The sequence below is a fragment of the Homo sapiens genome, chromosome 5 (genome assembly GCF_000001405.40).
Source record: "Homo sapiens chromosome 5, GRCh38.p14 Primary Assembly".
NCBI classification, from domain to species: Eukaryota; Metazoa; Chordata; class Mammalia; order Primates; family Hominidae; genus Homo; species Homo sapiens.
The window spans coordinates 37157553-37184157 of NC_000005.10; the positions used below are offsets into that span (position 1 = coordinate 37157553).

The 26605-nt window shown below is 37.5% G+C and overlaps 1 protein-coding gene across 50 annotated transcripts in view; it reads right to left on the reverse strand.

Annotated features, from left to right (window-relative positions):
- The window catches only part of CPLANE1 (ciliogenesis and planar polarity effector complex subunit 1), a 173708-nt gene that overhangs the window by 81884 nt on the left and 65219 nt on the right, over positions 1-26605 (reverse strand). For 19 of the 50 annotated variants that reach the window (XM_047417571.1, XM_047417561.1, XM_047417562.1 and 16 more), the window contains 15 exons: positions 25208-26147; positions 23305-23453; positions 22465-22631; positions 21809-21891; positions 20069-20148; positions 18357-18434; positions 16203-16395; positions 12489-12779; positions 11239-12009; positions 9495-9661; positions 7987-8119; positions 6721-6775; positions 4913-5014; positions 672-793; positions 118-316 (listed from right to left, as the gene is read on the reverse strand). In XM_047417571.1, coding sequence (XP_047273527.1) covers positions 118-316; positions 672-793; positions 4913-5014; positions 6721-6775; positions 7987-8119; positions 9495-9661; positions 11239-12009; positions 12489-12779; positions 16203-16395; positions 18357-18434; positions 20069-20148; positions 21809-21891; positions 22465-22631; positions 23305-23453; positions 25208-26147 — 3530 coding nt within the window. Of the gene's footprint in view, positions 1-117; positions 317-671; positions 794-4912; positions 5015-6720; positions 6776-7986; positions 8120-9494; positions 9662-11238; positions 12010-12488; positions 12780-16202; positions 16396-18356; positions 18435-20068; positions 20149-21808; positions 21892-22464; positions 22632-23304; positions 23454-25207; positions 26148-26605 lie in introns of those variants that run through there. The other 31 variants (XM_047417572.1, XM_047417559.1, XM_047417553.1 and 28 more) reach the window with 8 other exon arrangements.

A 26605-nucleotide genomic window follows, 5' to 3' on the forward strand; every position in this document is an offset into this window, starting at 1 on the left:
ACATCCAAAAATACAGTGGGTTTGTAGGAGGAGAGGTAAGAGATGTGAGTAGGGATAACAATGCTATATTAAAGAACTTTTCAAATTATATTTGTTTTAAAAGTAGGAAAAAATTACCTTGACTCTTAAAATTATGTGGGGGAACAGCATTAGTAACTGAAGCTGCCATATAATGTAACTCTGCAGACGATGGAACTGCTAGATGATCGCTTTGCTGTTTGATAACATTATCATTTGAAGGCTCTTCTCTCACAGGTAATTCCTGTAGAAGATCATTAGCTTCAATGTCAATCACATTTATATAAGTATGTCCAACCTGAGCCAAAACACATAAAACCAAAGAGGGTTACATTCTTTTTACTCTATGTGGTCACTCCGCCAAAAAAAAAAAAAAAAAAAAAAAAAAGGCTTAATTCTTCATTCTTATTAAAAACAAGGAAAGAAGGGCCTGAATGTGCCTAACTTAGGAAAAGGAGCAGGAAGTATGTATTATTGGTCTTAGTTTATAATATTTTTGGCATAATGCTTAAATTAATTTTTGAACCTTTACTACAAAGCTACATAGATGAGATTTTTAACCTCATTTCATCTACCCAATTGAATAATGTCTACATGACCATAATACATTTTAGCGCAAAGGTATTATTAAAACTTCTGAATAAAACACAAACCAAGTTTGTTACTGTATGAGGTATTGAGGGTGACCAAGGTTTCTCTGACATTTCACTGGAAAGCTTCAGATTTAGATAGACATCTGGGACCAAGAGCTGAGGAGCAGTCAAAGGCTCATGTTCTGAAAATTAAAAAAGAAATAATCAGGAACATTCAAAAAAAGGCTGTAAACTGCTCCAAATCATCAGCTTTGTATGAACAAGTTAGCAACAAACAACATAAATTGTACTTCTTGAAATCTAAGTAGAAGTGACATGGGTATAAATAATTAAAGCACATTCTATTCTAAGGGCAATTTAAAGTAATTCATAATTGAATGTAAGCTGACTATTGTTTCTCTCATATGAATGATTTACAAGAACAATAAAGTAACTAAATTACATCAAGAAAATGCTAAAATTTCCTATTTCCGTATCAGATATAGTAAGTCATGCTTGTCTACTTTAGGGAAGTTTCAACAAAACCAGATTTTAGAAGATTAACCTATAACTAATTTTTTTTTAACTTGAACACTTTCTTGTTATTTGCTTATTTTTATTGACAGCTTTATTGAAACATAATTCACATTTTTTTTTTTTTTTTGAGACAGAGTCTCGCTCTGTCACCCAGGCTGCAGTGCAGTAACATGATCTAAGCTCATTGCAACCTCCACCTCCCGGGTTCATTCTCCTGCCTCAGCCTCCCGAGTAGCTGAGACTACAGGCACCCACCACCACACCTGGCTAATTTTTTTGTATTTTTAATAGAGACAGGATTTCACCATGTTAGCCAGGATGGTCTCGATCTCCTGACCTCGTGATCCGCCCGCCTCAGCCTCCCAAAGTGCTGGGATTACAGGCATGAGCCACTGCGCCCAGCTAATTCACATTCTTTTTTTTTTTTTTTTTTTTTTTTTTTTGAGACGGAGTCTCGCTCTGTCGCCCAGGCCGGACTGCGGACTGCAGTGGCGCAATCTCGGCTCACTGCAAGCTCCGCTTCCCGGGTTCACGCCATTCTCCTGCCTCAGCCTCCCGAGTAGCTGGGACTACAGGCGCCCGCCACCGCGCCCGGCTAATTTTTTGTATTTTTAGTAGAGACGGGGTTTCACCTTGTTAGCCAGGATGGTCTCGATCTCCTGACCTCATGATTCACCCGCCTCGGCCTCCCAAAGTGCTGGGATTACAGGCGTGAGCCACCGCGCCCGGCCTAATTCACATTCTTTAAAAGGGTATCATTCAGTGGTGTATAGTATATTCACAGAGCCTATAATTAAATTTTACCACTTAAGGTGTTTTAACATCTAAATTTCACAAACGTTAACTGCTTCTTATTTAACAGTAAAATAAACAGGCCTGTCACAGCAGATCAACAAACAGTTTAACTCTGTGCCTTTTGTTCTAGGCCTCTAGCCTTATCTTCTAGCACTGTATTTTCAATAAAGCACTATTTTCAAATGTAACTCATATTGAGTACTTGTTACCAAAGCTTAAATTTAAACCACTTAAAACTAGAAAAAAAAGGAAAATAAAAATACTGAAATCATTCCCTCTCTCTTAATTGATTGGTTTAACCGCTTTTTTAAGGGGGATGGTGACTAGCTTTGGCATAATGCAGATACATCTTTAATAAGTCATACTGTTCTTAGGAAAAAAAAGAAATCACACATGATATGCAAGAAATTATTTGCTGCTTGGTACCACATTCAGAAACAACTTCTTGAGAAGTAGCTTCCTTATCTTGTAGTACATTAAAAATTTAAGACAAAAAGAGAAAACAAAAAAATTTCACAAACACAAGAAAAAATTAAAATATATGAATACAGATAATTAGATATTATGCATAAAAGGTGATAGGTAGAAACAAAGAGTGACAACTTAACAATGTAATTTTAAATAATTAATGTAATTTCAAATTTTATTATTATTTATATCTTGGGCCTTCACCTAGATGAATAGCAGACTCAGGAAACAGCTGCCAACTTCGATAAACTACTTAGCAACAAAAGCAATGTACCTCCAAGGCTTTCTCAAAGACATGCTTAGATAATGAACATTTAAGAATGTTTCTCAGTTCCGATGTGGTGGTTCAAGCCTGTAATCCCAGCACTTTGGGAGGCCGAGGAGGGCAAATCACTTGAGGTCAGGAGTTTGAGACAAGCCTGGCCAACATGGTGAAACCCTGTCTGTACTAAAAATACAAAAATTAGCCAGGCGTGGTGGAGGTCACCTGTCAGGAGACCTTGGCTATTTGGGAGGCTGAGGTAGGAGAATTGCTTGAACCTGGCAGGCGGAGGCAATCTTGAGCCAAGATTGCACCACTGCACTCCAGCCTCCAGCCTGGGAAACAGAGCAAGACTCCATCTCAAAAAAAAAAAAAATGTTTCTCAAATGCAGAGTCATCATTTATATCAAAACCATTTTACATGTGCTCAACTTCATTCAGAAAGAAATACAAATTAAAATAATGACTTTTTTTTTTTTTTTTTGGAGACAGAGTCTTGCTCTGTCGCCCAGGCTGGAGTGCAGTGGCACAATCTCGGCTCACTGCAAGCTCTGCCTCCCAGGTTCATGCCATTCTCCTGCCTCAGCCTCCCAAGTAGCTGGGACTACAGGCGCCTGCCACCACACCTGGCTAATTTTTTGTATTTTTAGTAGAGATGGGGTTTCACCGTGTTAGCCAGGATGGTCTCGATCTCTTGACCTAGTGATCCGCCCACCTCAGCCTCCCAAAGTGCTGGGATTACAGGCGTGAGCCACCGCGCCCAGCCTATAATTACTTTTTTTGACCTATCAGATTGGCAAAGTTAAAAAGTTTAGCTAAATCACAGTAATAACCAAAAAAGTCTCTTATGCAGGAAGATACTCATTGAAGCATAATTTGTAGGAGAAAAAACTGGAAACTGTCTAATGTATAGCTGGAAGAAGGAATATGCTTATGAAGTACTTTTTTGATGACACAGGGACATGTTTGCCATACATATAAATCAAAGTGAAATGAACAGGATAGAAAATACGGGTATCCCTTGTAATGCAAATCTAATCCACTCCTGCAAATGTGCTGGATAGTGAATTTTCTGATTCCAGGAGACTTTATGACAGTATTTCAAATGGAAATAAAAAGGTGTCCTAGCCCATCTAATTTTCCCAAACATCATTAAACAACTCTTAAATAACAACCCATCAAGGATAACTACATATAAAGCATTTTAAATATAACTTTTTGATTAATATTCATTTAATTCATTAGTTAGCATTCAATATGCAATAATACTGAACACATTAGAGATGAATTGCCGTCAACATTGTAGCAAACATACTATGATGCAAATAACAAAATAAATAATATGTTAAAGATACACTCTAATTTAAGAGCATCCCAAGGTACTTGGAAAAAAATAACACTGGGACCCAGGAGGATTAAACTAAACTCTCATGGAAAAGCTAGAGAAGATAGCCATAATATCTGGACAATGAGAGTTTAGATAGTAAGGGAGGACACCTATGCTATATACTGTATTTAACAATGTAAAATGCACAAAAGACTGAAAGAAAAAACAATATCAAACCGTTATTGCTAAGTGGTGTGATTATGGTTAATTTTCATCTTCTTCATAGATTGCTAAATCACCCAAATATTCTACAATGATTACATTTTTAAAACATAAGATAAAGTTAGGCTAAAAAGCATGCACAAGGTTCTGTACATGGGTAAAAGAAATTGTTTACTAAAAATCATAAAAAAGAATTTCTGTGATAACAATGGGTAGAGCACTATTCAAGATGCTATTCATAATGATAAATAATATTAAAGAGGAAATTTGTCAGGAAACATTCCAAATAATAGGTCCTCCAACACTTATTTCCTCTGCTCCTGGACACAGTTAAATACCCCTCCCTCACCGAACCCAGTCCAGTCCTTCCTAGCTCACCTTCACTAGCCACAATCCCAGGCCTCCCAACCTTGGGCATGCAATTCCAGTAAAGGTAATCAATAACATAGAGAATCCAAATTCAAAGCATTATATTTACTGACTTAGGATGTAGTCTATGGCAATTTTGAAGAAAAGTGTCTATTATGTTTTACTTAAGTTATCAATTTGATTTCTACAGTATATACCAAGACTGGAAAGAAAAATCTAGGCAGAGTAAATAATATCACATAATTAAAAATTCCCTTTAAATCACTGTCTTAAAGGAAAAGTCTAGATAACTTAATTGTATCAAAATATATGAATTTTTTTAAAAAGTAAAACAGCATTTACCTGGGTCTGTATTTGTACTTGCATCTTGACTTCCTATAGCTTTCTTTTTTACAGAGGCCATGAAATGCAATCCAGCTGAAGTATTATCATCTTGTAGCATTTCTTAAATATAATAAAACATTGGAAGTAATCATTGAGAAGCTAACAGATTACCAGGAGCCCAGCAGCACAGTACCTAACTCAATGGAAGTAAAATATGGGGTGTCAGGATGTTATTAAATTTTTTTTTTTTTGAGATGGAGTCTGGCTCTGCTGCCCAGGCTGGAGTGCAGTGGTGCAATCTCGGCTTACTGCAACTTCCCCCTCCCGGGTTCAAGTGATTCTCCTGCCTCAGCCTCCTGAGTAGCTGGGATTACAGGTGCCCACCACCATGCCTGGCTAATTTTTGTATTTTTAGGAGAGACGGGGTTTCGCCACGTTGGCCAGGCTGGTCTCAAACTCCTGACCTCAACTGATCCACCCGCCTCAGCCTCCCAAAGTGCTGGGATTACAGGCGTGGGCCACCGTGTCCAGCCTAAAATGGGCTTTCTCAATGAAGTGTTATGTAAGTTGAATCTCAAAGACATGGTAGAATCAAAACCAAAACTGTTGAGGACTCTGCACGTCCAGCTTAGAAACCTAGATATTCTTCTGGCTAATGAAGATCCAGTAGAAGCTGTTAAGCAGAGAAATGATATGGTCAGATTCATATTCTAGGAAAACAACCTAGCCAGTGTGTGGAAAATAGGTTTGAGTGGATATACCTAGTAATGGTGAGGGATGGGGAAACAGGTTAAATTTAAGAATTACAAAGGAAGCAAAATAGGTAAGAATTGGTTACTGAATGGATAAGAGGGAAGACAGAATTCAGAATCATGTGTTTCTGGCTTAGGCTGATATCAACACAAATGGAGAAAGAGAACATAGGAGGAAAAAACAGTTGGGGCAGAGTAGAAATAATGAATTCAGAATTCACATGGTGTACCTGAGGTAATTTCTACACAAGTGGAAAAACTCAAGAGGAAAGAAAATCAAAATCCAAAGTCTACTGTGAGAGTTTGGGTTTACATGTGGATTTCTCTGGGAGATCTCCCAGGAAGACTAGGTAGAATAAGAAAGTATTAATTATGGAGCATTGTGGTATAATGAAAAATATATATTTGGTCTACAAAGACCCAGTTTCTTGCACACAGGTCCTCAGAATCTTGGGATTTCCTGATAGGAGTGTCTGTTATTTCTAACGAGCCCCTTTTGATCATACCTAAGTTTATGCTAGAGGTGTCTCTTTGCAAGCCCTTAGATAGCTTCAGCATAGGCCCTAGTCACCAGAGGAACCAACCACATGATGAGAGGGTTAGAACTACCAGCCCCCAATTCACTCATCCTACTGCCACTTCTGGGAAAGAGAAGGGGCTGGAGATTGAGCTCAATCACAATGGCCAGTGATTTAATCAATTATACCTATGTACTGAAAAGTCAATAAAAATTCTGAAGCAAACAGGTTAAGGGAGATTCCAGGTTGGTGAATACATGGATGTGCTAGGAGAATGACCATCCCAGAGAGGGCATGGAAGCCCTGTGCTGCCCACCCCCACCACTGCGTATCCTTTATAATAAAATTGTAATCATAAGTAAAGTGCTTTCCCAATTTCTGTGGGTTTTCTAGTCAATTATCAAACCTGAGTTGAGGGGGGTGGAGTATAGGAACCCTTGAATTTGTAGTCAGCTGGGCAGAAATGTAGGTAGCCTCATTTTCATATTGTACATATTTCTAGAAAGCTAATTTTAACTCTAAACTTAGACATTACATTAATCATACACATACATACCAAAAGGAACGTCGAAGTCATCCAAAGGATGGGAACCACAATGTTCTTGTTGTTCCTAAATGAATTCCCACAGGATTACTCTATGATTAACTCAAAGATGTGTATTATTTTTGAAAAAAAAATCAATAGCTATGAAGATTGAATTCTCATGTATAACTTCAACTTCCATCATTCTAGACATAAGTATTCTATCAAATTATTTACTCTATCAAAGTAACTCTACAAATGAATTCAGAAAATACATAAGCCAAACAATAAAAAAGAGCATTACCAATTTAATGTAACGTTCCTAGGTTACCATGTGCAACTCTCTTCTACAGAGTAGCTTTGATAATACTCAAATAGTACACCATCCTGTCAAAAATCTTTCATGGACTCAACAAACATTTGTACTAAGTGCCTCTAAACATGCTCTTGAGGACTGACTGAAAAAGCATGCCTTTTAAAAATCAATGTAAACAAAACTATTAATACGTCTCTATTTAATCTGTTGTTGCAAAAATAGTTAGTCACCAAATATAGAAGGTATATTTTAAAAGACCTGACTTAAAGCTGGGCATGATGGCTCACACCTATAATCCAAGTGTTTTAGGAGGCTGAGGTGGAAGGATCACTTGAGGTCAGGAGTTGGAGACCAGCCTGGGCAACACAGCAAGGTCCCACCTCTCAAAAAATATTTTTTAATTAGCTGGGCATGGTGGCACACACCTGTAGTTCTAGCTATTTGGGAGGCTGAAGCAGGAGGATTGCCCGAGCCCAGGAGGTAGAGGCTGCAGTGAGCTATATTTATGCCACTGCACTACAGCCTGTGCAACAGAGCAAGGCCCTATCTCTAAAAAATAATAATAAATTAAATTTTAAAAAAAGACGTGACTTAAAATAGAGGTTACACAACAAACCTGTTTGGGAAATCCTAGAGGAATCTCAGAGAACGGTGAAACTGTATTAGGAGAAGCCCAAATAACATAATATATATATTAAGATGTCATAGAAATAAGCAAAGGGTGATTTCAAATATAAAAAAGCCACACAGGCAGATGCTCTAAACTGCAGTTTTTCATGTACCATCAAGTTGCTTTTCACATTCAGAACTCTATGTCTACTGCTCTGTGGAGGGAGGCAGCAGGGACTGATATACTGAATGATATGAAGATCCTCCTAGTCACAGTCAGAAGCTCCCAGCAATCAGACTAGATAAACCACAAAGACATACCAAACTCAGTGTACATGCAAACCAGGGAAGAATCTATAGCAGTTTTTCTATACCTTGGGTTTCTTAATGATTTCTGAATCATCATTATTAATTATGGAATTCTCTGGTCGAAAAGTCACATTTGGTTTTCTCCTCAGTTTCTCACATCTTTTTTCTTGCAGCTCTTTCTCAGCTCTTCTTCTTTGCCTGTTAAACATAATAGCATAAAACATACTTTTACAACTATAGCAACATTTGCTTTTCATTTATCATGCTATATAGGGATACAGTTGACAAAATTACGTTCATAAATTATTTTCAATAGCATTTAATTAAATTGGCAAGATATTCTGCAAATACAAGCAAATATAAGCAAAACACCAAATGTGAAATTTATTTCTAGAACCTCTACTACTGAACTGACTATTCTATATTAGTCACTGGAATCTAAGGACAGGTTTACACACCTTAGGTAATTATTAAACTCTCTTTTCTGTGGATTTGAAGCTGGTGCCAGAAACCCTATCAGATACCTCCATTTGTCTATTTGAAGACATTAAGCACACTTAGTCACCTCAGCAAAATTACAGCAAGGAGGAAAGAGGTCTCAAAATGCTAAAGGGAAGACTTAATTTGAAGAGGGAATAGATGGAAACAGAAAATTTCTGGAAAGAGAGCACTAGTGACAGATTTTACAGTCTGATAAATGTGAAATTTTAAAAGTATTTTCTAGACTTAGTAATAATCTACCAATCAATATATGCGGTAAAACACTACAGTAAGTGCTCTTCACTAGAAGTCACAGCCTTGCTTTTCACATACACATTTCTTAGTGCCCTGAAACAATTTACATCACCTACCCTCCTGCTTACTGTAAGAGTCTAAAGAATACGGTAAGATGATTGGTTCAAAGTATTAGATGATACAGTAGTCCCTGCTTATCCATGGTTTCACTTTCCAAGGTTTCAGTTATCAGAGTTCAACCATGGTTCGAAAATAGATGAGTTCAGTGCAGTAAGATATTTTGAGAGACAGAGAGAAAGAGATCACATTCTTATAACTTGTATTACAATATAGTTATAATTGTTATATTTTATTACTAGTTATTGTGCATTGCTTACTGTGCCTAATCTGTAACTTAAACTTTATCATTGGCATGCATATATAGAAAAAAACAAAATATATAATAGGGTTCAGTACTATCTGCAGTTTCAGGTATCCACTGAAGGTCTTGGCATGTATTCCTGGGGATAAGGGAGGACTACTGCATATGGGATATTGTACCAAATATTTGAGCAGCAAATGACTGTTCATCCTATTACCGACACTGTAAAAGAATCCTCCAGTCTATGAATGGTAGGAAAGAATTCCTTAATAAAATGGGAAAAAATTATAGTATTTGTCTCGCAAAATAGGAATTTTTCTCACATAAAATGTTTTCAGATGCATGACACTTGAAAAGAAAACTGAATGTGCAATTGTGTATAGCCTAGGAGACTGAACCAGATTACTGTGTGATTATAAATAATAATGAACTTGCTGATATATGATATTATCAAATAAAATTTCACTTAAGCCTTGCCTTTTTTTACTGTCCTTTCCTTGTCTTACTTCAGGTGGTTCTATTTTGACCTTTAGAAGTTGAAGGTGTCCAGCATCACCTTGTTCAAATAAATTATGTGTTAGTTTCTGTTGGCTTTGTTTAAACGCAATGAGGTTTTCAAGTGGGATAAGTTGTGTTTTTTTGCACTACAAGAAAGAAACAAAGCATAAGAATGACAAATTGCAAACTCAATTATGTAATATTTCAACAAAAGACTGAGGAAAAATACATTTGTTTAAATTAAACTGTGCAACAGTTAGAACAAATCAAATATAACAAATTGATTTAAACTGGCAATATGAGTATACATATCTTAGAGAAAAAGTGATTTAAAGTGCTGAAAGTTTCAAATGGGTCATCCTATTTCAGAAATTAAGCTAGAAGTTCTCAACTTCCTAATTTCATTCCCTTATTAAAAAGCTTTCCTCTGGCCAAGTGCAGTGGCTCACGCCTGTAATCCCAGCACTTTGGGAGGTCGAGACGGGCTGATCACAAGGTCAGGAGTTTGAGACCAGCCTGACCAACATGGTGAAACCCCGTCCCTACTAAAGATATAAAAAATTATCCAGGCATTGTGGTGCGTGCCTGTAATCCCAGCTACTTGGGAGGCTGAGGCAGGAGAATCACTTGAATCTGGGAGTTGGAGGTTGCAGTGAGCTGAGATGGCGCCATTACACTCCAGCCTGGTGACAGGGCAAGGCTCCGTCTCATACATAAAAACAAAAAAAACCTTTCCTCTTATAAATGAAATTATATAATGTCCAGCATTTAACTTAAAATTGTTTGGAACAGGGAAGATGTAGAGGCACAAAAACCACAGATGGAACAGACCAGCAATATGCTGAAAATCCCTGAAGCCTTGGGAATTGGGTGATAAAAACTTGGGGTTCTTCTTTGGCTCGTTATATGTTCAGAAGAAAAGGAAGCATGGTAAGTATTTTTTCTAAGGAATAACCATTTCCTTTCCCAGTACCATCTTCAAATCATAAAAGTACACCACAGAATGCATTACTCAATTACCTCCCTAAGATAGTACTGCTCTCCTCAAAACTAGAGCCTAAACCATTTTAATTTCATAAATCAAAAGTTATACCTTTAAAGAGGACTTGGTGGGTTTATAAAACTACCATTTTAATATATATGCTACTAATCACAGATTCTGGGTCTATTTAACAAATTTAACCTGTCAAAGATTTGAAGATCATACAATAATTGCTAGGAACCTCAAACAATATGTGTGCTCACTTGCTCTCCACTCTACACACACATAAACAAGAGCATCTGGTAATTTTTTTGCTTTCTTTTTTGAGTGTTTAAATCTGACACAGAGTACCTGGTAATTTTACTTCTTATTTCTTCCCAGAGCAGCAGAAATATTTATGAAAGAGTCCAGTAAATTCCAGTATTGATAGAAAGACCTAAAACCTTTAAAATACACAATTTTTTTTTAATAGAGACAGCTTCTCCCTATGTTACCCAGGCTAGTCTCAAACTCCTGGGGATCAAGGGATCTTCCCATCTTGGCCTCCCAAAGTATTGGGATTACAGGCATGAGCCACCATGCCCAGCTACAATCATTATTTTAAACCTAATTTTTATATGCTATTTTCTATAACAAGCATTTTTTTATGTACAAGAGCTTTTCAGTGACCATACAGTACTTATGGTATGAAAAAAATAGTGCAGGACACTGCTTTTGCATTACCATACAAAAATTCATTACCCTATTTTCTGGGGACAAATGTGAATGAAGTAATGACAATCTTGGGTATTTTCTTTCTTCTGCTATAGGTTGGATAGGTGTTGAGGGAACTGTAATAGATGCTCTTGAGGTTGATGGAAACATATTAGGAGGTTTAAGTGGCAGGTATAGTAACGGAAGTCCAAAGGAATGGTGAGGAGATATCTCAAGGGTCCCTGGCTTAACATCAAATAGTTTTTCTGGTTTTATAAACACTGAAGAGTCCTGTTGAGGTGTCAAATTTTCTTGTCCAACATATTGATCCAAGTTCACATGATTAGGAATTTCTGTAATTACAGTTTCTGCCCACGTCTTCTGCTCAACTTCTTTTTTTCTGGCTTCAGTGTTATACTGGCTTACATTCAAATGGGATGCTGGAGTAGTTTGTGCTGCTCTCTGTGGCAGAGCAGGTTGGAAGGAGTCAGATAATCCCCAAGCCTCTCTTGGTTGTGGCAAAGGCCTGAAGGGAACTTGTGGAATACTTCCTGTATGTAAGAAAAGGGGCTGGAATTCTTGTTTAGACTTAAATTGAAGCAAAGGAAAGCCATCACCAGGACTAAATGTTTTTGCATGTGGGATAAGTCTAGGTGCCTTCTGAACAACAGAAGGTGTGGACAAAAGGTAGAGGTGAGTATTTCCAGCAGGAGCTGGATAAAACGAAGTGGATGGTAAGTTTTGAGATGATGGAATTGGTCCTTTTTTCCGGGGCTGGCCATTTAATTGACATAAAGGAATACTCCCATGTGGAACATTCTGGAAGAGAAAAAAGATATTATGTAAGTTTAGAATATATTAGAAATTCCTTCCTTTGTAAATGGCATTCAGTATGTTTTGCAGTGGGTAGAATGTAGTAACTGCTAAAAAAAAAAATTATTTATTCAATAAAAAACACGATGACTATTGAACTACTCAGGACATTATTATTTTTTTTTTTCTGAGACAGAGTCTTGCTCTGTCACCCAGGCTGGAGTACAGTGACATGATCTCGGCTCACTGCAACCTCCACCTCCTGAGTTCAAGCGATTCTCCTGCCTCAGCCTCCTGAGTAGCTGGGATTACAGGCATGCGCCACCACACCCGGCTGACTTTTGTATTTTTAGTAGAGACGGGGTTTCACGATGTTGGCCAGGCTGGTCTCGAACTCCCAACCTCAGGTGTGGCCTGCCAAAGTGCTGGGATTACAGACATGAGCCACCGCGCCCAGCCATTAATGGTATTTTTACATACATTACCTGTACGTTTCCAGTACTATTTTGACCAGATGGGATAGTTCCTTCATGGCAGTGTGGGCTGTTCTTGCGAGGCTCTCTGGCGTTCTCTCCCATTGACTGTGGTTTAATAAAAAATCTCTCCTTAAGATTTTTGTTGCTGTCTTCAACATCACCACATCCTCTTAGGTTTGATTCTTGGCTTTCCCCTAAATGCACAGACTGAGACTGCTGTACAAGTTGTTGTGTATCTGGGAGATTAGCAAAGGATGATCCTACTATTTGCATTAGGCTCATGAAGTTGATCTGTTGCAGCTTGAATAAAACAAAAATTGAAGCGATATCTTAAAATATAACAAAAAGAATCTAAGGAATAACAATAATCATCTGAGTATTCTACAATAGTCACACGTTTGTCTTAATATCTATGAGAATCATGAATGCTGAGCAGGAGGCAGTCAGGGAAATTTTTTTTTTTTTTAAAGGGAGAGGAAAAAAATGATAACTTCCTGTCAACCAGGCATATGAATACTCACTTGCGAATGAAACTTGGAACTATTTGTAAACAGTTTACAGTATTCAGTTTCCATAAACATCCCAGGGATCAAAGGAGTGGGATAAAGACAGATTCTCAGAATAGGCCGGGCACAGTGGCTCACGCCTGTAATCCCAGCATTTTGGGAGGCCGAGGCAGGCAGATCATGAGGTCAAGAGATTGAGACCATCCTAGCCAACATGATGAAACCCCATCTCTACTAAAAATACAAAAATTAGCTGGGTGTGGTGGCACGGGCCCGTAGTCCCAACTACTCGGGAAGCTGAGGCAGGAGAATCGCTTGAACCAGGGAGGCGGAGGTTACACTGAGCCAAGATCGTGCCACTGCACTCCAGCCTGGTGACAGAGTAAGATTCTGTCTACACACACGAAAAAAGACAGATTCCCAGAATAAGTATATTTTGGACAGTTTTCAGCAATGAGCAGAAAGCAGTACACAGGTGAAGAGCAAGGAATTCCCTTGGAAACGCTGACTAGGTGAAAGTAGTCAGACACCAGTTGTCCCCAAACTTTGCTGCACATTACAATCACCTGAGAAGTATTTATAAGTCCCGATGACCAGGTCACTCCCTATCAATAATCGCAATGTCTGAGGATAGGAACCAGCATCTGTATTCATTAAGATGACCAGGTTATTTAAATGTCCAGAAAAGCTTGGGAAGCACTAGCATAGACATTGGCTTAGCTGGAACAAGAGATTTACAGCAGGCATAATGAAAAGATAGGCTAGTACAGAAGTTCACAAACTTCGGCATGCATCAGAATTACCTGGAGGACTTGAACGACTGCTGATCCCTATCCCAAGTTTCTGATTCAACAGGTCTAGGATAGGGATCTGAGAATTTGTATTTCCAAAGTCTAAGTGATGCTGATACTACTCGTCCAGGCATCATACTTTGAGAACCACTAGACTTGTGAAAGTAAGGCAGGAAAGGAGGGAAGGTAAAGACTTCAAAGTGAAGTTTTTGAAGGCCAACAGAAGAATTTGCATTTGATAGAACAAACCAATAGGGAAATAGTGCAGGTTTTAAAAAATGTAGTTTTCTTTTAATTATAAAGTAAATACACACAGGAAAAAACAGAAATTTTAAAAATAAAATAAATATCATTCATAATCCTACCCTCAAAAATAATGAGCATTGACATTTTAGTATATTTCCTTTCTCTAGCTTACTCTCTCTCTCTCTCTCTCTCTCTCTCTCTCTCTCTCTCTATCTATCTATTCTATCTAAAAGACAAGGTCTCACCCTGCTACCCAGGCTGGAGTGCAGTGGACTGATCATAGACCACTGTAACTTCAAATTCCTGGGCTCAAAGCATCCTCCAACCTCAGCCTGCCGAGTAGCTGAGACTATAGGCATGTGCTACCATGCCTGGATAATGGTTTGCTTTTTGAGTTTTTGTTTGTTTGTTTGTTTTTGTAGAGATGAGGTCTTGCTATGTTGTCCAGGCTGGTCTCAAACTCCTGGCCTCAAGCAATCCTCCTACCTCAGCCACCCAAAGCACTAGGATTACAGGTATGAGCCACCTCTTATAAAATTTAAAAATATAAAGAGGCTGGCTTCTTTCTATTTTTAAAACAAGATTGATATCATATATTATACAAATTTGTTCCTGAAATTTACTGAAGATTTTTAAACAGGTGACTAATATTATTAAAATAATACCTGAAGAAAGTGTCCTAGAATATAGAAGACAATGGAAGAACAAAACTAAGAATCTAAGGTTAGCCACTGCTATAGAAATAGCAAGTGGCTATTACCGACATATAGTATGGGCAAAAAATTCAAGAGGGCATAGTAAAACACTGGGTAGGGGTTGTGAAAGAAGGCAAAGATGACTTTTGAAGATAGTGATTCTTAATCTTTTGTGTGCATCAGAATTATCTGGATAATGTGTTAAATATATAGGACAGTGACCAGTGAAGTCCCCAAGTAATCCATCTAACAGTTTGAGAGATGTCTCTAAAACATTAAGATGGTAGAATCAGTGGTGCTACTAAACAGAAAAAGGAAAGAAGGGACTAGGGAGAATAAGAATAAAATTAGTTTCAGTAAGTTTCATGGGACAGGGGGACATGCTGAACAACTATTCTCATCAAGGCCCCTAAGTTCAAAGAGAAAATTAGTGCAGCTGGGCACAGCGGCTCACGCCTGTAATCCTAGCACTTTGGGAGGCCAAGGCAGGCAGATCACCTGAGGTCAGGAGTTCGAGACCAGCCTGGCCAACATGGCGAAACTCCATCTTTACTAAAAATATAAAAATTAGCCAGGCAAGGTGGTACATGCCTATAATCCCAGCTACTCAGGAGGCTGAGGCAGAAGACGCTTGAACCTGGGAGGCAGAGGTTGCAGTGAGCCGAGATCGCGCCACTGCACTCCAGCCTGGGCAACAGAGTGAGACTCCGTCTCAAAAAATAAAAATATAAAAAAAATTTTTAAAAAGAAAATTAGTGCCGAGAATCATCAATATGGAAATGGTATATATTACATCACATAAAAGGATATGGAAGTGAATGTAGGACAAATGAGCAGAGGTTTAGATCTGAAGGAAACTAATGTTTCTAAAAAGGTAAATAATTAACCATTGTTGGTAAACAGAAAAAAAGGATAGCCAGGTATGATGAAAGTCAAAGTGAACAGTAATTTGAAATGCAGCTGAGAGTTTCAACTCAAGCACAAGAAATATGGATAAGAAATATGTGATAGTGTCAGCTGGAAAATAAACCTTGGATACTTTTGAGTAGGAGCCCACTAATCTGGTTTGATTACTCCCCACCTCACTTTTGTGAGCAGCTGCATCCCAAAGAGCTCAGTAAAAATAGGTCATTGTGAGAAGTAGGTAGCTTAGCCTAGACCTCTGGGCCCTAGAGGTCTTTTTTTTCCTAGTAGAATTTTTTTTTCCTAGTAGAGTTTCCTAGCAGAGTCTCACTATGTTGCCCAAGCTGGTTTCAAACTCCTGGCCTCAAGCAATCCTCCTACCTTGACCTCCCAAAGTGCTGGGATTACAAACGTGAGCCACTGCGCCCAACCAGTTATAAACATTTGAATGAAAAGTACCCAAAGCAGAGAAATGCTTGTGATATAATTTTACCTTGTCAATTTCTGGAAATCTATTAATATTTTAAAACCCTACATGTACACTATGTGTAGATTTACTTACTTATATAGAGATGTGCTTACCTGAACTAATTTAAACATTTCATCTTGCAGCATCTGCCTAACGGACTCCGAACAATCTGGTAACTGAGCCGTGAATTCATTTCTCTGGGTCTTCTGAGGTGTTGGAGCAGGTGGTTGTGAAGCAACATTGACTCCATTTGATATCAGAAGTGGAACTGAGGAAGATTTTTCTTTATATGTAGAAATCTGTGCACTGCGTGGAAAGCATTTAAATAAAAAACATGCATTAAAATTGACAAAAAACAAATTGAATGTCTATGATCAGAATATTTTGATCCCACTTTTGTCTTCCAATTTAAAGGTTATTCTAGTAGTTTTCTAGAAATTTAAACCCTAAAGCCTTTCTCTCTAGTGCCCGTCAGCCCCCCAGACACATTCGTCATCAGCTCAATTTTCATCTTTATTAAGGGATTGTCTAGTCAGTGATGGGCTCCTTCATAGGGTGTTGCAAACCCAAGAGCTGACATATATTTTACTTGCCTGGTCCCTGTGGACATCTGAATTTGAGACCTGTGGAATCATTCTGATTAGCTGTACAGACTTCACAATTTGTAATTTGGCTTAGAAATATGTTTTTGACTAAAATTAATGATCCAGCATAGAGTTAAGAAAACTACGGAAAAACTGGGTTTAAAAAACTTAATTCTAGGATCAGTAGAGAAAACTACTGTTTATCATCATTAAATGTGAAACAATAGTACTGTGAACATTTCATTTCCAAGCAAACCTCAGAGTTTAAATGTACCATAAACCCTAATAAAAAATGCTTATTTACAAATAAAAATTAAGGATCAAAGCAAGGTGTTTAGGTTTTTTTTTTAAAAAAACAAAATGACTGTTGGGGGATGACTCCTCAAACATAGCAGATACTCAAAGTTTTCTACATTTTATAAACTAAGCAAGGGAGCAGGCAGTTATCAGATTCAAACAGATCACTGTTTCCAAAAAAGAAAAGAACATATTAAATTTCATATAGACTTATTTAGGTTTACACTCATTCCCATTTGGCAATAATATTTGCCTTTTATCGAGCATCTTAACACACCCAATAAAAAAACTTTATTTGGCAAATTCACAAAAAATAGGCATTACAACTGATCTATCTTTTCCTTTTCTGCCAAAGTGAAAGCTTTGAGTGTTGCTCCTTGAGAATCATGTTTCTCACAGCTGCTGCCAGCCTCCACTGTCCCCAGCTTTCTTAGCTGGGTGACAAGGGAGTTAGTTGCCCAGTGACAGGGATCTGGAATCTAAAGAGTAAGCGGAGCCAAAGAAGGTTTAGGAGGCACCCTCTGGCGACTGGGTTCCTGAAGTGTGATGGAAGGGGGAATGGGTTTCAGGCTGACCCCTCTTCAGGCATTCCTAGTAAAGCCACAAGGGGCTCCAGGGCTGTAGAGGTCCCCTTGGGCACAGGGTGGGTGCATTCATGCTTGCACAAGTCACTGGCACTCAGGAAGGCCTTGGGACAGTAGGGGCAGGTATAGGGGTAAACTGAGCTGTAGGTACAGCTGGATGTGCACAGCCCAGGCCAGTCTCAGAAGCTCTTTAAACTGAGTGTAGCAAAAGGGCCGGATCTGGGTATGAGGACTCATGCAGACGCAACAACATTTTGTGAAGAAGGTCTCCTTGCACAAACAGATCTGCCCATTTTAAAACAAGTTTATTGGGCTTTGCTTTCAACAGGTCTCAAGGAGATCGATTCTAACTATGAAAATTTTTTTCTGAGGTAAAGCTGTGCTATATTTTCCTATTTCGGCAAGATTTCTAAACACTAAGCACTCTGTTCAAAAGAACCGGATGAGTCTGTTCTGTGAGAGAATTAAAAGCATTTCAAACACTACAAGAAATCAGTTAGAAGCTGAAAATGAGCAACAACTTCATCTTTCAATAATATATCACTACTTTTTTTCAGAAAAGACTGTTCAACATAGTTCCTGTGTAACTTTAAAATACAATCGCTAGTGGAAACTCAGTAATGAAAGATGTCAGATCTGTGTGCTTATGCTGCTCTTTCAATGTTTTATGTTGCTTTCATTTTTCTTAGTTTTTAGTCAAAATGTAGCAATTGTTTCAAAAATGGTACAGTCGGCATACTTTCACTCTGTGATTTGTAAAACACAACTATTTTTAAATGGTATAGTAGGCAAAACTTCTTACCTAGAAATTTCTGAACTCGTATCTACTTGCATTGATTGAGGAGTGGTATGCCCAGGATGTGAAAAGGCTTCGATCATACTATCAATAAAAATTAACAGGTGATTAGTAAGCAAGATATTCTTTGCATTATCTAAGGTATGAGTGATCTATGCTCAGCCATCTAAGAGTCTAAACATCCTCTAATCTTCTATAATGTTTAGCTCATAATTACAATCTGTTTACATTTGTCTCCATAGCAATTAGTAACAGATCTAAGCAAAAGCAAAAAAATATGTCTGGATGACTTAAAACACCACTTAAATACGGCTGACTGCTCAGCAATGAAAACAACAGAACCCAAAATGAGGGGACATGAGGTTAGTTAAGACCCAAATTTCACCTATAGAAGAGGGAGACACTATGCTCAGAACCCTAGAGCCCATTGTCACATTTGAAACTGTAAAGAGGCTGGGCACGATGGCTCACGACTGTAATCCCAGCACTGTGGGAGGCCAAGGCAGGCAGATCACCTGAGCTCAGGAGTTCGAGACCAGCCTGGGTGACATGGCGAATCCCATCTCTAAAAAAAATACAAAAAAATTAGCTAGGCATGGTGGTGCACACCTGGGCAACACAGCAAGACCCTGTTTCCAAAAAAAGAAAAGAAAGAAAAGAAAAAAGAAACTGTAAAGATTAGTGTTTGTCTTCTCTCTCTCTCTTCTTGGGTAATTTTCCGAAGGAATCATTTTTATGAATAGAAGTATCTAAATTACTTGTAAAGGCCCATAGTATTAAATGCATTCTTTTTAACTGTCCACAGAAAAACTAACAAAATTTGCATACTGAACAGAAAAAGAAAATCTAATTATGTTGCCTTTTTTTTTTTTTTGAGATGGAGTCTTGCTCTGTTGCCCAGGCTGGAGTGCAGTGGCCTGATCTCGGCTCACTGCAAGCTCCGCCTCCCCGGGTCATGCCATTCTCCTGCCTCAGCCTCCCGAGTAGCTGTAACTACAAGCGCCCGCCACCACACCCAGTTAATTTTTTGTATTTTTAGTAGAGACAGGGTTTCACCGTGTTAGCCAGGATGGTCTTGATCTCTTGACCTCATGATCCACCCGCCTCGGCCTCCTAGAGTGCTGGGATTACAGGCATAAGCCACCACGCCTGGCCATGTTGCCTTTCTGATCTAAGGGAATTCTAAAATTTAGAACTTCTAAAATTCTAAAGATTTAGAAATCATGTCCAAACTGCAACACATGAAAACTGCCTTCAGCTCTCCTTGAAGCAATAAGCTAGCCGGCAGTGTATGTGTACATCATAGCCCTAATGAATAGTGTATAGTAATCATCACAACAGTGAAAGATTTTATACATACATAAAATAATTTATAATCATTCTTTATTTGATTCAATAAAAATGGAATAAGTATGAAAAGTGGTTCCCTACTTAGCAGCTAAATAAGCTTTGGCCTATTTACAGCTTTATTTTGATAAGGCTGATAGTGATGAGAGAACAAAAGGCATTTTAGATATCATTATTTATTTCACTCTATCAATACATAGAAGTATAACATTTACCAAAAATCATTTTACCATAACTATAAACTGAAGTTACAGTTTCACTAGAAACACAATACCACCCTAAATCATGTATTGTAAATTATGAAGGAAAAAAGCTGAAAGCTTCACTGAGGTAACCAGTGACAATCACTGTCATACTTTTTTCCCCCTTACCCTTTTTGTTCAGTCGATTTTTCCTCCATAATTGTCTCCAGTGGTTCTTCCCTTTGACACTGAACCTCTTCTGTGAACTCCTGTTAAAATGAATAGTACCCAAAAAGAAAACAGGTAAAACAAATAGGTATTACTGTCTTGAGTATTTTGAGTCTCATATTAGCCACTTAACCAGAGTAACAACAGTCTACAAGCAAGTGAGAAATCAAACAGTAAAATGTACTCCCAGTCCTGCTCTGACCTAATCTTTATACTGTGTGAATTGCCTCCACTCTGTCACACTGGGCTATTGAGCATGCTAAGTTACAAAGACAAGATTGTGTCAGTAGACTAACACACTGTAAATTATATACACCTAACACTATATGATTATTCATTTCCCTGTAAAAACAACTATAAAACCAGGAAAAATGAATCTTTTTTGAAAGAATTGTTACAAGGCAGGCAGATCTACTTGAGGTCAGGAGCTCAAGATCAGCCTGGCCAACATGGTGAAACTCTGTCTCTATAAAAAAATACAAAAAATTAGTCAGGCATGGTGGCGCATACCTGTAGTCCCAGCTACTTGGGAGGCTGAGGCAGAATTGCTTGAACCTGGGAGGTGGAAGCTGCAGTTAGCCAAGATCACACCACTGCACTCCAGCCTGGGCAACAGAGCAAGACTGTCTCAAAAATAAAAATAAAAATAAAAATAAAAAAGAATTGTTACAACAGATAGGGCACGGTGGCTCACACCTGTAATTTCAGCACTTTGAGAGGTTGAGGCTAGGAGTTCAAGACCAGCCTAAGCAACATAGCAAGGCCCAGTCTCTACAAAAAAATGTTTTTTTTTTTTTAAATTAGCTGGGCATAGTGGTGTGCACCTATAGTAAGACCCAGCTACTTGGGAGGCTGAGGCAAGAGGATGACTTTATTCCAGGAATTCCAGGCTGCAGTGAGCCATGATCGTGCCACTGCACTCCAGCTTGGGCAAAAGAGCAAGACCCTCATCTCGAAAAAAAAAAACAAAAACACAGAATTGTTACAATAATTGGAAATGTCTATGTTCCCCCTGGAAATTCAGTGTATAGAGTTTTGAGAAAAATAATATCAAAAAGTATATATATGTATAAAAAGTATACTACAGCTGAATTATACTTTTTAATTTTTTTTTTTAAAAGACAGGGTCTCACTCTGTTGCCCAGGCTGGAATGTAGTAGCACATTACAGCTCACTACAGCCTCAAACTCCTGGAGTCAAATGATCCTCTCACCTCAGCCTTCTAAGTAGCTGAGACTACTACAGGCGCATGCCACCATGCCTGGCTATTTTTTAATTTTTTGTAGAGATGGAGTCTTGTTCTCTTGACCAGGCTGGTCTAAAACTCCTGGCCTCAAGCAATCCTCCCGCCTCAGCCTCCCAAAGTGCTGGGATTACAGGCATCAGTTGCCATGCTTGGCCATACTTCCATACTTTTTAAATAAAGGACACATTTGCTACTCTTGATTAAATAAATTTGCTAAAGCAGTTTATGATGTGAAAACTTCATTGCCTGAAATTATTGGACAGGTTACTACACTGTACTAGAATTTCAGGGAAAGAAAAATGCCACACAGCATGGCTATATTCTACAACCCATGGTGCATTTTTAAGAGCTAGCCCTGCTTTGATATATTTAATAACAATGAATAAAAACATGTATAATTTAAACACTATACAAAATGAAAGAAGAATAATTATATCCACTATTTATTGACTTACTTCTTCTAACTGCTGTGGTAAAGTCATCATGCAAATGGCAAGACTGGGACTTCTGAAACCTCCAACAGATTCTTCAATGTCTTCTAGCGATAAGTGAAGATGAAGAGAAAACTGATCATTTAAAAAATAAGCTATTGACTTTTTAGGGGGCTCAGGGAATATTACCAGAAACAATATAATGACAGAAATATTTTCTATCCTTTTTATAAAGACAGTCTTTGAAAACACCTGGAGTCTATTCCATCTTCATCAGGTAAATCCCAGATGAGCCTTGAGAGGCCTTATTATTCAGTATGTTTAACTCCACGTAGTGCTCTGAGAGTTTCTGTCTTAAGGAAGACTGCTGGGGAGAGGTTTATAGAGTTGCTTCACAGAAATTAACAGACCATAATTATTATATAAGCAGCACAAGACGCCCAATAATGGTAAAAGAGCACCAACATAAAAATACCTTAGATCTTCTTGGTTTTATTAAAACCAAAATTAGAGTTAATATGCTCAATATTTCATAAATATTTAATTCTCTTAATTTTTTATTTTAGGCTACTGTAAACATACTAACTTAGGTATAAGACTAAATAAGTTACCTCAGATAATATTATTTACCAATTTCAAATTAATAAAGCCAAAAAAATAGATTATCTAAATGAACTGACCTTCATAGTCTGATATGTGCATATCCATTTCCTCTTCTGTAAATGCTTCTACTTCTAAAAGATTCTCATCAATATCTATAAATTCTTTTTTAGTATTATGAGTGATGGAAATAATATCATCATTGATTTCTTTTATATCAGGATTTTTTGCTTCAGTTGGCATTCTACTGAAAAAAATGCAGCAACTAAAATTACAACTATTCTTGGAGATAAAGAGCTAATTCAGTTTTGGGTTTTTTTTTTGTTTTTTTTTTTAAGATGGAGTCTCGCCCAGGCTGGAGTGCAATGGCGCAATCTCGGCTTAATTCAGTTTTTTAAAAGCAAAGAACAAACTTTGGTTTCATATTTATAAAATCTTTCTTTAAAAAATTCTGATACACAGAAGCTCAGGTAAAGATTGTTCAGTAAATAACTAAACATCATAGTTTTTATTTACTCGAATGATTGGAATAATTTCAACTAAAATTATCATTCTCACAAAGGACTCTTCATGCTATAATGGGTTTTGCCTTGGTATTCAAAGCTATGTTACTCCTAGCATTGCTTCATATATAAAAATGGATGAAAGGATTAGTTCAACTTCTGATATGGGAAATAAATTGATAAAGGAATCCCTCAGGATGAATTAATTGCTCTCTCAGAAGATATAAGCTAGACCAAGAGGGAAGAAATACAATTTGCAATGAATTGTTAAAGCACCTCAGAAAGCTCACTGCCTGCTCCTCTACTTCAAAAAATGCTCATTCCTTTAACTTTCAAGGGTTTGATCTTCCCTTTAAGCCCAAATGCCATCAAACTACATGTCTTATATTGAAAAGAAGAGTATAATCGGCAACTTACTTCAAGATATTTTGACAAGATTTATTCTGACCATTTCTTTCCTCAGTTCCACCTGGAGTTGCTACTGCAACTGAACCGCCAGCATCTGATTTGCTCTCCCTCTCAATATTGGGTCCAATCTGACACCCAGTGTCACGATTCTCTACCATCTAAAGCAAACCATTTAAAGTATTTAGTATTTATTGAACCCTTTATTTTTCACCATATTTTAAAATTATTCATTCTTTCTACAGGAATTCTGAATAATCCTCTTATTCATTTATCAAATATTTACTGCATTTCTACAACTCAATATTTGTTGCTGAAGCAATGATCAAGTCTTTATTCTAACTGGAAAAAGCAAATCTGACTACCTAAATAGTATTCAAAAGAAATCAGCCTTACAAATTTGTAAGGCATATTGTCATTGTTTTCAGGCCACAAAACAATGGCAAAAAAATTATAATATCCTCATTTCATTCCCTTTGCTATATCATAAAGACATTCAGTAGTTATTTCAAAATGACATAGTAGACAAAAATACATGCAGCTAAAAACACAAGGTACATCCTTTTTGTCTCACTTAAAATTTCCATATACATTACCTAGAAATACACATTTCAAGGATGACTAATATCACAGTATCATATAAACTGTATACCTTATGATAACAGAAACCAATCTCAAGGGAAAAAAAGGACTAGTGTGGTGGCTCCCACCTGTAATCCCAACATTTTGAGAGGCCAAGGTGGGAAGGTCACTTGAGCTCAGGAGTTTGAGACCAGCTTGGGTAACAAAGGGAAACCCTGTCTTTATAAAAAATTTAAAAATTAGTCAGGCATAGTGGCATGAGCCTGTGGTCCCAGCTGCTTGGAAGATTCAAGTGGAAGGATCACTTGAGCCCAGGAGGTCAAGGCTACAGACAGCTGTGATCCTAAGACTGCACTCCAGCCTGGGTGATAAAGCAAGACTCTGGACCAGGCGCAGTGGCTCACACCTGTAATCCCAGCACTTTGGGAGGCCGAGGCGGGCGGATCACAAGGTCAGGAGTTTGAGACCACCCTAGCCAATATGATGAAACCCCATCTCTACTAAAAACTACAAAAATTAGTCAGGCGTGGTGGCGCGTGCCTGTAGTCCCAGCTACTCACAAGGCTGAGGCAGGAGAATCGCTTGAATCCAGGAGGCGGAGGTTGCAGTGAGTTGAGATCACGCCACTGCACTCCAGCCTGGGTGACAGAGTGAGACTCCATCTCAAAAAAAACAAAAAACAAAACAAAACAAAAAGCAAGACTCTGTCTCAAAAAATGAATAAGTAAAAAATAAAACAAATTCACATATTCACATACACACACACACATACACACACACACTCACATCCTTCAGCCTAGAATAAACTACTTCAGAATAAAAGCACTTGCCATTGACTAGGGAAGAAAGAATAGTTAATTAAACACTAACTCCTCTACTGACTCCCCCATCTGCCTTTCTGTGTTTGGTTCTCCAACCTCTTCTGGCCTGAGAGTATAAGAAAAACTATCCCCTAACGGACTTGATGAGACATCAGTAATTAAAACTACAGAGCCACCTAGTCCTCCTTCATCTGAACCAAAACCTGAAACTGAAAGGAGAAATAATATACGTGTAATACCACTTGTAATATCACTTAAAATTATCTCCTTCCTTTTTTTCTTTTTTATAAATACACATAAAACTTCAAAACCTCACAGCCTCTCTGAAAGCACTTTATTGTTAAGAATTAAAGGAACCACTGGAAGAAAAAAATAGGAGATACTGATTATAATCAACATTGTCATTAATTTTCTATTATTTAATGATTCTTTAAAAGATGGGAAATGTAAACATAGTTTTAATCTAAAATGAGAATTCTCATTTGTAAGTAATAAACAATTGATATGCTTACCTTAATAATGGCATTTTTTGCCTTATATGTAGCAAAATAGGGTTGTTCCAAAAGCCATAATGATGTAAGAATGGCAGCTGTAGAGGTCTTTACACGAATTACTGGACTGTACTCAGAGGATGACTCAGTTATACCAGAATCACAGAGTAGCCTTCTATTAGACCACCTTATCATCCATTCCAGCAGTCTTCCTATACTGCCAAAAGTGTTTAGTGCTAAAGGAAGATCTTCTTGAGGGTTAATATCATTGCACTGAATAGCTTTGAAAATACATCTTCTAGTTTTAATGGACTTGGGAGTCCAAAAAATGTGGTTTGATGATCTCTGGATTAGACATTTCTCTCTAGTGTCATCTTGTATTTTGTAAATTGACCTTTGTTTTAAACCAAATAATCCACTCATTCCTTCATTCTTATTGACTTCATTCGAAGGATATTGTAAAAAAGGTTTGATCCCTTGATTAACCAGTACTGATGATGAAAGTTTCTGGTTTTCTAAATGCATGCCATATTCATCATTTAAAGAGGATGATTTTTCTGATTCATAGGACTCAGGAGCAACAACAAAGCAAGAACCAGCTCTAAACACATTCTGGCTTTTAGTTTTGCTCTGATGTCGTTTTAATGTTGTATGTACATCAAAAAGTAAAGAATTAAGTTCATGTTCTCTAAGCTTTCCAGAAAAACTAGTTAGAAATGGAATGTCAGCATCCCTGGAATAAGGTAGGTCTCTTTCAAGAATGTAACTCAAAAACAGATCAAGGAATTTAATATATTCATCATCATCACGTTCAAATTCCCAAACACCTATTACAGGAAGTGTATTTTGTGATAACTTTTCATGATCTTCTTTCTTTGTAGGATTTTCTTTCTGATTACACATTTTCCTTTTATCAGTTGGCTTATGAATTGATGTTAATTCCATGTGATTTGGGGCATTTCTATAGCAAAAAAATAAAATAAGACAAAATTAGAGATCATTTAATCACTAAAACTGATCTTAGAATTGACATGGAAAATTCTCTCCAATGATTAAGTCATGTATATTTTGTGTGCCTCAATTACCTACATTTCAAATGAGGGAGTGGGACTAAATGATTTCTAAGTGTTTTCAAGAGTGGAACATTTCTACTATGAGATCAAAAAAAAATTACTATCAAAAGGGAAAATTTGTATTAGAAGAGATTAAAATGTGTCCACAGAAATTTCACTATAAAAGAACATGAATAATTTTTCTGTGGGTAAAAGAAATAGTCCTCTAATGGGTCAGATTTTAGGAATACAAAGTCAACAAAAACTCCAAGCCACTGATATACAACAAAATTTAGGATTTCTTGTTTCTCTCTTGCATCTGCCCGCTCAGCTCCCCTAATACCATGTGTAATAAGCAAGACTGACC